This window comes from Homo sapiens, chromosome 11 (genome assembly GCF_000001405.40).
Source record: "Homo sapiens chromosome 11, GRCh38.p14 Primary Assembly".
Lineage (NCBI taxonomy): Eukaryota > Metazoa > Chordata > Mammalia > Primates > Hominidae > Homo > Homo sapiens.
In genome coordinates, this window is record NC_000011.10 from 77,755,786 (window position 1) to 77,768,849 (window position 13,064).

Sequence of the window (13,064 nt, forward strand, 5' to 3'; positions counted from 1 at the left end):
GCCAGGCTAGTCTTGAACTCCTGACCTCGTGATCCGCCTGCCCTGGCCTCTGAAAGTGCTGGGATTACCGGTGTGAAGAAGAACTTAATAGCTGAGCTCTGGGAAGTGAAGAGCTGCATCTTACTCATATTCATATCCCTTGACAAAGTTTGAGACAAAGAGCAAGTACAAAACAAACATGATGAGTATATGAAAGACATACAAAGGTATTGTTTTTATCTTAATTAAACAAAAATTATCTTAACAATAATTTCTTTAGGTAACATAACACATCCTAAAGAAACTTTTCAGGCCAGGCGTGGTGGCTCACACCTGTAATCCCAGCACTTTGGGAGTGCAAGGCGGGCAGATCACCTGAGGTTGGGAGTTTGAGACCAGCCTGACCAACACGGAGAAACCCTGTCTCAGCTAAAAATACAAAATTAGCTGGGCATGGTGGCACATGCTTGTAATCCCCAGCTACTAGGGAGGCTGAGGCAGGAGAGTCCCTTGAACCCAGGAGGCAGAGGTTGCAGTGAGCTGAGATCATGCCATTGCACTCCAGCTTGGGCAACAAGAGCAAAACTCTGTCTCAAAAAAAAAAAAAAAAAAGAAAAACTTTTCAATTCTTACTACAATAATAACATTTTTTGCATATTTACTATGTGCCAAATACTATTTTAAGTACTTTAAAATATTAACTCAGTAAATTCTCATAACAACCTTTTCAGTAATTCCACAAACATTTACTATGTGCCGACTATGTGGCCGGAACTAGACAAACGCTCGGATACCATGGTGAAGAAGACAACCTGTCATCATGGAGGTAGTAAAATGGGTAAACTAGTAAGAAAATATCAAGAGGTGAAAATGCTACACTGAAAATAAAATAATAACATGATAAAGAAAATTCTCTAACAACCCTTAGATTGAAAGTAATGTTAACCTCAGGAGGAAAGTACGGCAAAGTGGGTATGTGCTTTACTTAAAGAATGAGAGAAATAGCAATTGCAGTAATTATTCTGGAGGACTGAAACATTTATGGAACAGAGCTATGAGACATATCCCGCTTTAAATATTGGAAGGGCAAAGATGGATTAAAAGACAGTCTCTGCTCCAAGAATTTCAGAATCCAGAGAGGAAGAGACAATCGTAAACAAATAATTATCAGGGGAAAAGCAGTCAGTGAGTTATCTACAAAGTGAGTAACTGACACAGCTATGAAGTACTATGAAAACAGAGAGGAAACACTAACTCAAGCCAAGGGGTGAAGGGAAACCAAGGAAACTTTTCTTCAGGTGGTGACATCTGTGCTAGGACCAGAAGGATGAATGAGGTTTTAGTGGATAAGGAGGTAAAGCTCATTTGAGAAAGAAAAAAACTATGTTTTTTAAAGGAGAGATGTGAATGATTATGGCATGTTCTGTCAAGGTGGAGTTGAATACAGTTCTTTATGCTAGAGCCCTAGCATAAAGGCTAGCATAAAGCCCTGGCATAAAGGTTTTTGGGATTGGCAATGGACAGAGACAAGACCATGAAGGAAGACAGTGAGCAGGTCTGTGAAAGTGGGTCATGGCTAGTAAATATGGCGACCCAATGAGGCTCTGGAGGCACTAACAGCAAATAGTCTTGGGGCCAAGCACGGTGGCTCACACCTGTAATCCCAGCACTTTGGGAGGCCAAGGCGGGTGGATCACGAGGTCAGGAGATCGAGACCATCCTGGCCAACATGGTGAAACCCCGTCTCTACTAAAAATACAAAAATTGGTTGGGCGAGGTGGTGCATGCCTGTAATCCCAGCTACTTGGGAGGCCAAGGCAGGAGAATCGCTTGAACCCGGGAAGCGGAGGTTGCAGTGAGCCAAGACTGTGCCACTGCACTCCAACCTGGCGACAGAGCGAAACTCCGTCTCAAAAAAAGAAGAAAAAAAAAGAAAAAAGAAAACAGTCCTGCTGGCACTGCAGGACAGATAGGAGCACAGATTCTAATGTCAAGGAGAACAACTAAAGCCAGTTGTAATAATTCAAAGGAAAGGTAATGAAGCTTGAGCTACGCTGTGGCAGAGGATATTCAAGAGAAGTCAGATTCAGGCTAAGCGTGGTGGCTCATGCTTGTAATCTCAGCACTCTGGAAGGCTGGGAGATTACTTGAGCTCAGGAGTTCAAGATCAGCCTGGACAACATAGTGAGACACTGTCTCTAAAATTAAAAATTAAAAAATTAGCCAGGTGTGGTAGCGTGAGTCTGTAGTTCCGGCTACTGGGGAGGCTGAAGTAAGTGGAAGGATCACTCAGACCAGGGGACCAAGGCTGCAGTGAGCTGTGACTGCGCCACTGCACTCTAGACTGGGCGACAGAGGGAGATCCAGTCTCAGAAGAAAAAAAAAAAAAAAAGAAGGTAGATTCAGATTGTACATGTATCTTAGGAAAGCAATAACAAGTCTACATGGTTTTACCACTCACAAAAGAACTTTCACATATTCCATTTTTAAGCGGATATCCAGTAAAACCACAAGACTTCTGAAAAAAGTCCAATTCATCTTTCTTTTATATTATACATAAGATTTCTGTTCAATGCAAAATCCATCCATCTGTTGATGAACACAGGTTGTTTCTACCTTTTGGCTACAGTGAATAATGCTGCAATAAACACTGGCATACAAAGATCTGCTTGAGTCCCTGCTCTGGAGTAATTATATATGTAGAAGTGGAATTGCTAGGTCATATGGCAATTCTGATGAGCTTTATGAGGAACTGCCAAACTCCCTTCCATAGCAGCTGTACCATATTACACTCTCACGAAGAATTTAGGAGAGTTCCAATTTCTCCACAAATTCACCACACTTACTTTCCTTTTTAAAAAAAATAGCCATCCTGTTAGGTATAAAGTGGTATTTTACGGTTTTGAATCACATTTCCCCAAGGACAAATGATGATGAACTTCTTCTCATATGCTTTTTGATCTTTGTGTATCTTCTTTGAAGAAATGTCTATTAAAAATTTTGCCATTTGGGTTGTCTTTATGTTGTTGAGTTTTAGGAGCTCCTTATATGTATTCCAAATATTAAATGCTTATCAGTTATATGATTTGCAATACGTGCAATTTGCAATATAACTTCTTCCATTCTGTAGGCTGTCTTTTCACTTTCTTCATAATGTCCTTTGATGTACAAATGTTTTAAAATTTGACAAAGTCTAACTAATCTATTTTTTATGTTGTTGCTCAGTCTTCTGGTTTTCTATCTAAGAATCCATTGCCAGATCCAAGGTCATGAAGATTTCCCTTTATTTTTTTCTAAGAGTTTCATGATTTAGCCCTTATATTTAGGTTGTTGATCTATTTTCAGTGAATTTTTCTATATGATATGAAACAGTGTATCCACTGTATTTTGCAAGCTGTCATAGTTCAACAAATAAGTATTTTATACTATAGGCAACAGTCAAAAGATATTTGTAAAATACCACAAACCAGGTGCAGTGGCTCACACCTGTAATCCCAACACTTTGGGAGGCCAAGGCAGGAGGATCACTTGAGCCCAGGAGTTTGAGATCGGCCTGGGCAATGTGGCGAGATGCCACCTCTACAAAAAATAAAAAATTTTAGCTTGGCATTGTAAAAGTTTTATGAAAATGCTAAGGCTGGGCGTAGCGGCTCACACCTGTAATCCCAGCATTTTGGGAGGCCAAGGCGGGCAGATCACGAGGTCAAGAGATCTCTCGAGACCATCCTGCCCAACATGGTGAAACCCCGTCTTTACTAAAAATACAAAAATTAGCCAGGCATGGTGGCGTGTGCCTGTAATCCCAACTACTCAGGAGGCTGAGGCAGGAGAATCGCTTAAATCCAGGAGGCGGAGGTTGCAGTGAGCCGAGATTGTGCCACTGCACTCACTCCAGCCTGGCGAAAAAGCAAGACTCCATCTCAAAAAGAAAAAGAAAATCCTTTGCAATATATAAAGCATTAAGCATTCATGCTCTATCAGACAAGCCTGTGTTCAATCCTTGCTTCACCATCTGGTGTCTATGTGACTTTGGGAGTAATTCACCATTCTATGATCCAGGTTGTGGTGAGAATTAAATGGTGATGCATGTTAAAAAAAAAAAAAAAAAAGCATAGCACTGAGTTTATAATAAGCTGTCAAATGTTATCTATTATCATTATTATTAAAAAGTTATAAAGAAACTGGAAACCTCATAAATTGCTATGAATACAACATAAATTGCTATGGTACAGCCGCTATGGAAAACAGTTTGGCAGGTCCTTAAAAAGTTAAACACAGAATTACCATATGACCTAACAATTCTACTCCTAGTTATATACAGGAGAGAAGTGAAAATACGTGTTCACAGAAAAACTTGTACACAAATGTCCATAGCAGCATTATTCCTAATAGACAACAAAGTGGGAAACAAGCAAATGTCCATCAACTGATGATGGATACATAAAAGATGCTATTATCCATATAATGGATGAGTATTTGGCAATAAAAAGGAATGAGATGATACATGATACAATGTACATAAACCTGGAAATCATTATACTAATACTAAGTGAAAGAAAATACAAAAGACCACATATTTTATGATTCCATTTATAAGAAATGTCCAGAGTAGGCAAATCCATACAGATGGATACAGGGGAAAAGGTGGGTGTGATTGATACTGATTGATAACAGATACAAGGCTTCTTACTGAGATGTTAGAAAAGTTCTGGAATTAGTGGTTATGTTTGCACAACATAGTGAATACACTAAAAACCAATGAACTGTACACTTCAAAATGGTGAATTTTATCTTATGTGAATTATATCTCAATAAAAAACACAAAATACTAACAATGCATATAAAAATTAAGAGTGTTAATCTTAATTTACTTTTGAGAAATACAACAGTAAAGGAACATCTAGTTCTTGTCAAAATACAACCTAATTATCAAATGACAAAAGGTGACCTTTATGATTTGTTAACAGATGACAATGGGCCTTTCTGAAATTGCTGTTTAGATCAAGGCCATCTATTGCCAAATTTATTCATTTTCAAGGGATTTCTAAACCTAATACTAGGTACTTTACTTTCAGGGTACATATGAATACGATCATCTCCTGTTGAGGGGTAGAAAAACACCCCAGAAAAGACACACTAGGTTATTTTCTTTCTTTTTTTTTTTCTGAAACGGAGTCTCGCTCTGTCACCAGGGTGGAGTGCAGTGGTGCAATCTCGGCTCACCGCGATCTCGGCTCACTGCAACCTCCGCCTCCCTGCAACTTCCGCCTCCCAGATTCAAGCGGTTCTCCTGCCTCAGCCTCCGGAGTAGCTGGGCGCTTGCCACCACGCCCAGCTAATTTTTTTTTGTATTTTCAGTAGGGACGGGGTTTCACCATGTTGGTCAGGATGGTCTCAATCTCCTGACCTTGTGATCCGCCAGCCCTGGCCTCCCAAAGTGCTGGGATTACAGGCGTGAGCCACCGCACCTGGCCACATTAGGTTATTTTCTACTTAATGACATCATCTTTCAAGTACTGAGCCCCCCAAAATACTTTCTGCTTATTCTAAGATTCGTATTTGCTTTCATTTTTTAACATTTCTTTGAAACACTTACTACATTCAATGTTACAGTATTTCTTTTTTTTTTTAAACTCCTATTTACTTAGAAATTATTCTGAGGCTAAAAGAAATCAAGTGCGATTTCTTTTAAGGGATAATTTATTAATAATTGGTTATCCCACTAGTTTTAAAGGTCTTCACATGGCTGTCTTCAGGAAAGAGGCAGGGCAGTAGAAGTAGAGGTGCAGGTACTAAATTTGTGAAGGCATGTGAAGGCAAATTGTTATTTAGCATAGTGGTATTCATTATCCATGGTCAAGGTGTCTGAAATTGCTCATTAATCAATCATTAACAACCACAGAAAATAGGGGAATTTCATGGAAGCGTAAAGGTTCACTGGCAGAGAAATTTCTTTATGACTTGCCAAGTAAAAGGAATGTGAAGAATAAGGCCAAGGCCCATCCAACAAAGCAAGAGTTAACAGGTCCTAGCAGAACTGCTAGTTTAAATTTCCATTCGGTGATTTTTTTTTTTTTTTTTTTTGAGACAGGGTCTCACTCTGTCGCCCAGGCTGGAGTGCAGTGGCACGATCTTGGCTCACTGCAGCCTCAACCTCCTCAGCTAGCTGAAGCAATACTTTCACCTCAGCCTCTTGCATAGCTGGTACTACAGGCATGCACCACCACACCCAGCTATTTTTTGTATTATTTTCTTTTCTTTTCTTTTTTTTTTTTTTTTTTTTTTGTAGAGATGGGATTTTGCCATGTTGCCCAGGCTGGTCTCGAACTCCTGAGCTCAAGCAATCTACCTGCCTCAGCCTCCCAAAGTGCTAGGATTACACATGTGAGCCACTGTGCCTAGCTGGGTTTCCTTATTTTTAGAAGGGTAATTCCGCTGTCAAAGTAAAAAGTCATCCGCCTAGATTTTTGAGGTCCTGTCTACTACGGATGAATGTACGTTAGCAAATGCAAGATACAGCACAATAACAAATGAATGCCCTTGGTTAAGCTCAGTTCCTAGACACCTCTCTCTCTTTCTCTCTCACTATCAATTATCAATAGTTGTTGATTTTACCTTCCAAATAGCTCTTACATCCACCCCCTCCTTTCCATCCCTAGTGCCAAAACCTTAATTCAGGTCTCCTTATTGCTCAGTTGGATTATCACAGTAACCTCCTGAACACATGACTGTTAGGCCTCCACTCACTGTCATTTTCTCAAGGTACTTTCTATTACAGTAGGGCTAAGCTACTGGTTATTTCCTAACAAAATTTCTGCTCATTCTATAGGTCTTAGTTCAGCTGTCTTAGGGAATTACTAACAATAGATGACAAATAGATGCCAATGCTGACTGATTTGTGTAATAATGTAGTCTGCTAAGTCTAGGCTTAGCAGGAAGGCTTAGGTTGGTAATGTCTGCTATGAGCAAAGCAACAAGGCCTAGCAGATGCCAGATACTTGCTCTGGATTTAAACAGAATTTTATATTAATTATATTCCATTTACTTCAAAAGGAAAAGAAACAGCTTTCAGTAATACATATGTACAATGATGCCACAAGGAGAAAGACGAGAGCACTGTAAGAGCCATGTAACAGGGAAGGTAAAAATTCCATCAGAAAACTAGCTAATGATTATAACTAATAAATAAATATAACAAAGTTAAGCTTACTGGCAGTCAAGGGAAAGAAAACTAAAATTGTCTCAGTGATTAATTGATCCATCTAATACTGATGCATAAAAGATTAAAAGAAGCCGCCGGGCACGGTGGCTCACGCCTGTAATCCCAGCACTTTGGGAGGCCGAGGTGGGCGGATCACGAGGTCAGGAGTTCGAGACTAGCCTGGCCAATATGGTGAAACCCTGTCTCTACTAATAATACAAAAAAAATTAGCCAGGCATGGTGGCACGCACCTGTAGTCCCAGCTACTCAGGAGGCTGAAGCAAGAGAATTGCTTGAACCCAGGAGGTGGACGTTGCAGTGAGCCGAGACAGCACCACTGCACTCTAGCCTGGGTGACAGAGTGAGACTGTCTTTAAAAAAAAAAAAAAAAAGATTAAAAGAAGCCTTCAAGAAACTTACAATATACACAAAAGACAAATGTGAGGAACATTTCATCAGTGATATTTTAAAGTACTGGATTCACCAAGTCCTGGATTTGAATGCTGGCTCTGTCGTTTTTAGCAATGTGAGACCAGACAAGTTACTCTATTTAGTTTCTCAAAATCAATTTCCTTGTGAGTAAAATGAGGATAATCAGTATTTTAAAGTTGAGATAATGCAAAGGAAGCACTAAACAGCGCCTGGTACATAATGAACATTCAATATAAAACCATATGACAGTTTCTAAAATAGGGTTAAACATAAATCCATGAAGGAACATCTTCCTGAGAGAAGGACTCAAGGAGACAGTACTACTTGAGCTGAGACCTAAAGGACAAATAAGTTGGCTAGGAAAACAAACTGGTGGGAAGGTACTCCAGGCAGAAGATACCATATATGCAAAAATTCTGAGGAACGAAAAAGATGGCATGTTTCTGTATCAGTGGTCCTCAACCTTTCTGGCATCAGGGACCAGTTTTGCGGAAGATAATTTGTCCACAGACTGGGGGTGGTGGGTGGGAGGGAGATGGTTTGGGGATGATTCAAATGCATTACATTTGAATCAACTAGATGGCCCCATCTGGAAGTGATGGGAGATAGTGACGGATCATCAGTCAGTAGATTCTCATAAGGAGTGCACAACCTAGATCCTTCGCATGTGCAGTTCACGATAGGGTTTGCACTCCTATGAGAATCTATGCCGCAGCTGATCTCAGAGGAAGCAGAGCTCACATGGTAAGGAGAGGAATGGGGATGACCACTATTGGTCTGTGGCCCAGGGGTTGGGGACCTCTGTTCTATATAACAGAGTCTAGGGGAACCACTAAATAAGTCTATGCATACTATGTGAACTAAAGTAAAAATGACAACATCCCTGAGCCTTATTAGTTTCTTACTTGATGTGATCAGGGTGATTTTAAGAATTAAATGAGAAAAGACATGAAAAGTCCTGAGCACAGTGTTAGGCACAAAAGAGATATAACACTTCTGAAATCTAACTTCAGGACTCAAGACTGCTACTAAGTAGTAGCAAAAGAAGAGAATCACATACTTGCAGTCATGTGGATTTTGGAGCCATAGTCTTACTTTTAGTAAACTAATTAAAAATTATGTGTATTATAAAACATAATATCAATTTATGCTAGAGTAATATTTCAGTAATAGAGCAGGAAATTTACAAATACTAGTTACCTTGATCAAATATTTTTCCCATCTGTCTGCAGTAACAGATTTGCCAATTTTCCTCATCAGCTTCAAATGGAGCTCCACCAATTCTTTTGGTACTTAAAAGAAAGAAAAAAAATATCATTAGCCAACAAAATAAAACAATTCTAAACATTTAAGATAATAAAAAAATAATCTTCTCCAACCCTGGATACCTTCTCAAAACAGACAGTGTTGATACTAGCTAACTTTTAGACCTCTGAATCAAAAAAGCCTAAACTACAGCAAGAAATGACCAAAAACCACTTTCTCAAAGACAAGCAAGAATATTCACATTTTCTTTCAAAACACCATCAAATAAAAGTAAAACCTAATATAAAGTATGAACTTTGGTGATAATTATATGTCAATGTAGGTTCATCAATTATAAGAAATGTACCATTATTGTGGGAGCCAACAGTAGAGAAGTTGTATGAGTATGGGGACAGGGATACATGGGAACTCTCCGTACTTGCTGCTTAATTTTTCTGTGAACCTAAAATTGCTCTTAAAAAAATAGTTTGTTAAAAAAAAAAACCATCAAGTAAAAGCACTTAACTATACAACTAAAGTTTGTATTGTTTATCTGCAATAACAAATATTTGGTTCCTTTACTGAGATTTCAAAGACATACATTCATAGAATTAGAAAGGAACCAAGAAGTATGAATTCCAAGTTGACAGATACGACAGAAATTAAACTAACAGTTTCCAAACTGTTTTGGAAAACTCTTCCAATCTATCCCTTGTCTGATGTGTTAAACTTCTCTGTAGCATTTCTATGAATCTTTGCTTGACAAGCTTCATGGACAAAAAAATTACTTACCTTCCATAGCACTTAGTTCTGTTTTCTGGATAGTTCTAATTACTAGAAAGTTACCCTTACTCTCAGTCAAAATCTGCCCTCTGACAACTTCCTCTCCTGATTCTGGCTCTTATTCTCTAGTTTCAATGACAGTACTTTTAATCCCTCTTCTGTTGGAACCTTCAAATATTTGAGGACTGCCGTATCTTCCCTCAGATTCTCTGCTTTGACTGTAAACAATCAGAGTTCCTCTAACTATTATTTAGGCATGGTCTGATTGTATTTAATTACATTAATTAGACCAGAGGGACACATACGGCTGTCAAAATAAGCATTTTTCTTTTTTCTTTTGAAACGGTATCTCACTCTTTTTGCCCAGGCTGAAGTGCCGTGGCACAATCTTGGCTCACTGTAATCTCCGCCTCCTGGGTTCAAGCAATTCTCCTGCCTCAGCCTCCCAAGTAGCTGGAATTACAGGTGCCCACCACTACTCCCGGCTAGTTTTTGCATTTTTAGTAGAGACAGGGTTTCACCACGTTGGCCAGGCTTGTCTGGAACTCCTGATCTCAGGCGATCTGCCCACCTTGGCCTCCCAAAATGCTGGGATTACAGGCATGAGCCACTGCACCAGGCCTAAAATGATCAAATATTTGTAACCTAAGAGAAATTACAGTATACTACCTAAAAAGATCCCATACTCAAATATATTGGCAAAATGCTGGATCAAAAAAAAAAAAGTTGTTTTTTTATCTTTAAACCACAGGACCATTGTCTTATCATTCGCCCTTATGTGCATTGTGAATATCCAAAATAGGTACATAATCTGCAGCGTTCTCTAACATATTTGATCCACTATCTTGTAGGATACAAACACTCTGAGGGACAGGTTGGGAAATGATGACCTAATATTTTTCAGTCATTCTTTCATTCTCTACTAAAGCTCCTTCTGAATTTGAAACAACACTTTGAAATATAAAAACATTCACCCATTCAACTACTTTCAGTGGGTCAAATACTAGTAAGAAAGAAACAGTCCTTCTGTCTTTAATGAGCCTACTTGAGTGAATCTTCATAGCAGGTAGAGTGGTGGGTTGGGGGTGGGAGTGGGGAACAGTGTTCAAAGACAAGTAAATAGACAAATCTACTAAGATGTGAATTATGGGGGGTTAAGGGTGGAATGGAGAAAAGGAGGGAAAGGGCATTGCTTGCACAAAAACAACAGATGCAAATAGCTAAAAAACCAAAAAGAACATGGAACTGGAGGAATGGACATAGATAATTACAGCCTAATGAGGCCAGGCTCAGAAGTTTAGATTTTATGTAAAAGTTTAAGCAGGAGAGTCTGTTGCATTTTAGAAGACCTTAATGATTGAATTGGAGGAAGACAGATTTTTAAATATTAACAAAAGAAGTTTTTATTTGCTTTTTTGTTTTAGGAGGTGGGGTGCAGGGCCGAAGCTAGATATAAATTCAGGAAAACCTCAATCCAGAAGATAGAAGTAGCCTAAACTAAGGTAGAGGTGGTACAGAGAGAAGTGGACAGATCTGAGAAATGTTTAGGAGACAAAATTATCAAAACTTAGTGATTTACTGGTTGTGCAGTGATAAAAGATCTGGGCTGGATTCTCAGCTGCCCCACCTATATAAGGGGACAATGGTTCTGGTCAAGTCCTTTAAACAATGAAGCTCAATTTCTCCATTAAAAAAGGCTGTGTTGGCTATCTCATGGAATTTTGAAACTGTATAGCGTTGTATAAATATAAAATACTTTTATTTCTCTTCTGTTTTAAAACCAAGGTCACTTTCTTCAATTTCTCCTTTTCCACAAACACAGAAGTATTGATGTTCCCCCTTCCCACATCTTAAACCTGCCTCCTATTTCCTCCTTTCCCTAGGACATGACTATACCTTCTCGCATCAGAAAAACAGCTATGGATAGTCTCCTGCAATCAAACCAATCTTCCAAAAAGACTGCTTTCATATCACTTCCCAGTTGGTAAGTATTTTTTATGGCTCCTAAATACCTACATAAACCCAGCCAGATTTCTTACCCTAGCCTCAGAGTCCCAACATTCAGTCTCATACTAACTCTGCAATTCTTCTCTCTTACTTCCTGCACTGAAATCCTTGATTCGAATCATTTTGCCAGTTAATGGTCCACTAAGCATGCTCAGCCCATTACCTATGTGGGCTTTATTAAAGAGTTATTTATTGTTTTCTGCCCACTTGAATCATATTTATCTTTCAATGTCTAGGCAATACAAGTCCCGAAAGTCTCCGTGATAGATTTCTAGTACCAGCAACCTTTTTGTCCCTGGAACACCCACTGTATTCATACTGTCTGTATCACTCATTAAGCAGTTGGCTAAAACCTTTGCACCAGTGTTTTACTCATGTTCCCCACCAGTGTTCTATGCTACACAGAATCATGAAAGATTTTGATACAACTGGTACTATTTTTTAAAAGCCAATACAAGACAAAAATAAAAGTGAATAAATGTTTTCATCCCACTTTACAAATCTACTCATTGTTGATTTAGGCATGTACAAATAGATTATGTATTACTTGATTTAAAAGAGTACTGGCTCTTCTACAGTCAGCACTGTGCAATAGAAATGTAAGGTGAGTCACATAATTTCAAATTTTCTAGTAAAATATTATAAAAAGTAAAAAGAGGTTAAAATTAATTTTAATAATATATTTTATTTAATGCCCTTCATCCAAAATTATATCAACATATTATCAGCTTTTTTTTTTTTTTTTTTTGAGACAGAGTCTCGTTCTGTCACCCAGACTGGAGTGCAGTGGTGTGATCTTGGCTCACTGCAACCTCTGCCTCCCGGGTTCAAGCGATTCTCCTGCCTCAGCCTCCCCAGTAGCTGGGATTACAGGCGTGCGCCACCACGCCTGGCTGATTTTTATATTTTTAGTAAAGACAGGGTTTTGCCATGTTCGTCAGGCTGGTCTCGAACTCCTGACCTCATGATCTCCCGCCTCGGCCTCCCAAAGTGCTGGGATTACAGGTGTTGAGCCACTGCGCCCGGCCAATCACTATTTTTAAAGTATTACTTTCTTTTGTACTAAGTAAAAGATTTTACTTTTCAGACTATTTAAAATACATTGTGCATTTCACATTGACAGCACATCTCAATTCAAACTAGCTACATTTCAAGTGCTCAAGAGCCACATGTGGCTAGTGGCTACTGTACTGGATAGCACTGCATAGTGTAGACCCAGCATGCTTAAAATTAAAATTTATAACCCAACTGAATTAATATTTTGTTACAAATAGAACTGACAAGCTGATAATCTTTAAGTGCACTAGTATAATCTGTCAACTGATAAGAAACAGGCTACAGGAAAATTAATCAACATTATAGTTTATTAAACATTAAAATCACCATACTTTTTATTCTTTAAAACGGCACTGTCTAT

At 38.8% G+C, this 13,064-nt stretch overlaps 1 protein-coding gene across 3 annotated transcripts in view; it reads right to left on the minus strand.

Annotated features, from left to right (window-relative positions):
• The window catches only part of RSF1 (remodeling and spacing factor 1), a 212,224-nt gene that overhangs the window by 95,777 nt on the left and 103,383 nt on the right, over positions 1 to 13,064 (minus strand). For all 3 annotated transcript variants that reach the window (XM_017017923.2, XM_005274051.3, NM_016578.4), the window contains exon 2: positions 8,813 to 8,904. In XM_017017923.2, coding sequence (XP_016873412.1) covers positions 8,813 to 8,904 — 92 coding nt within the window. The remainder of the gene's footprint in view (positions 1 to 8,812; positions 8,905 to 13,064) is intronic.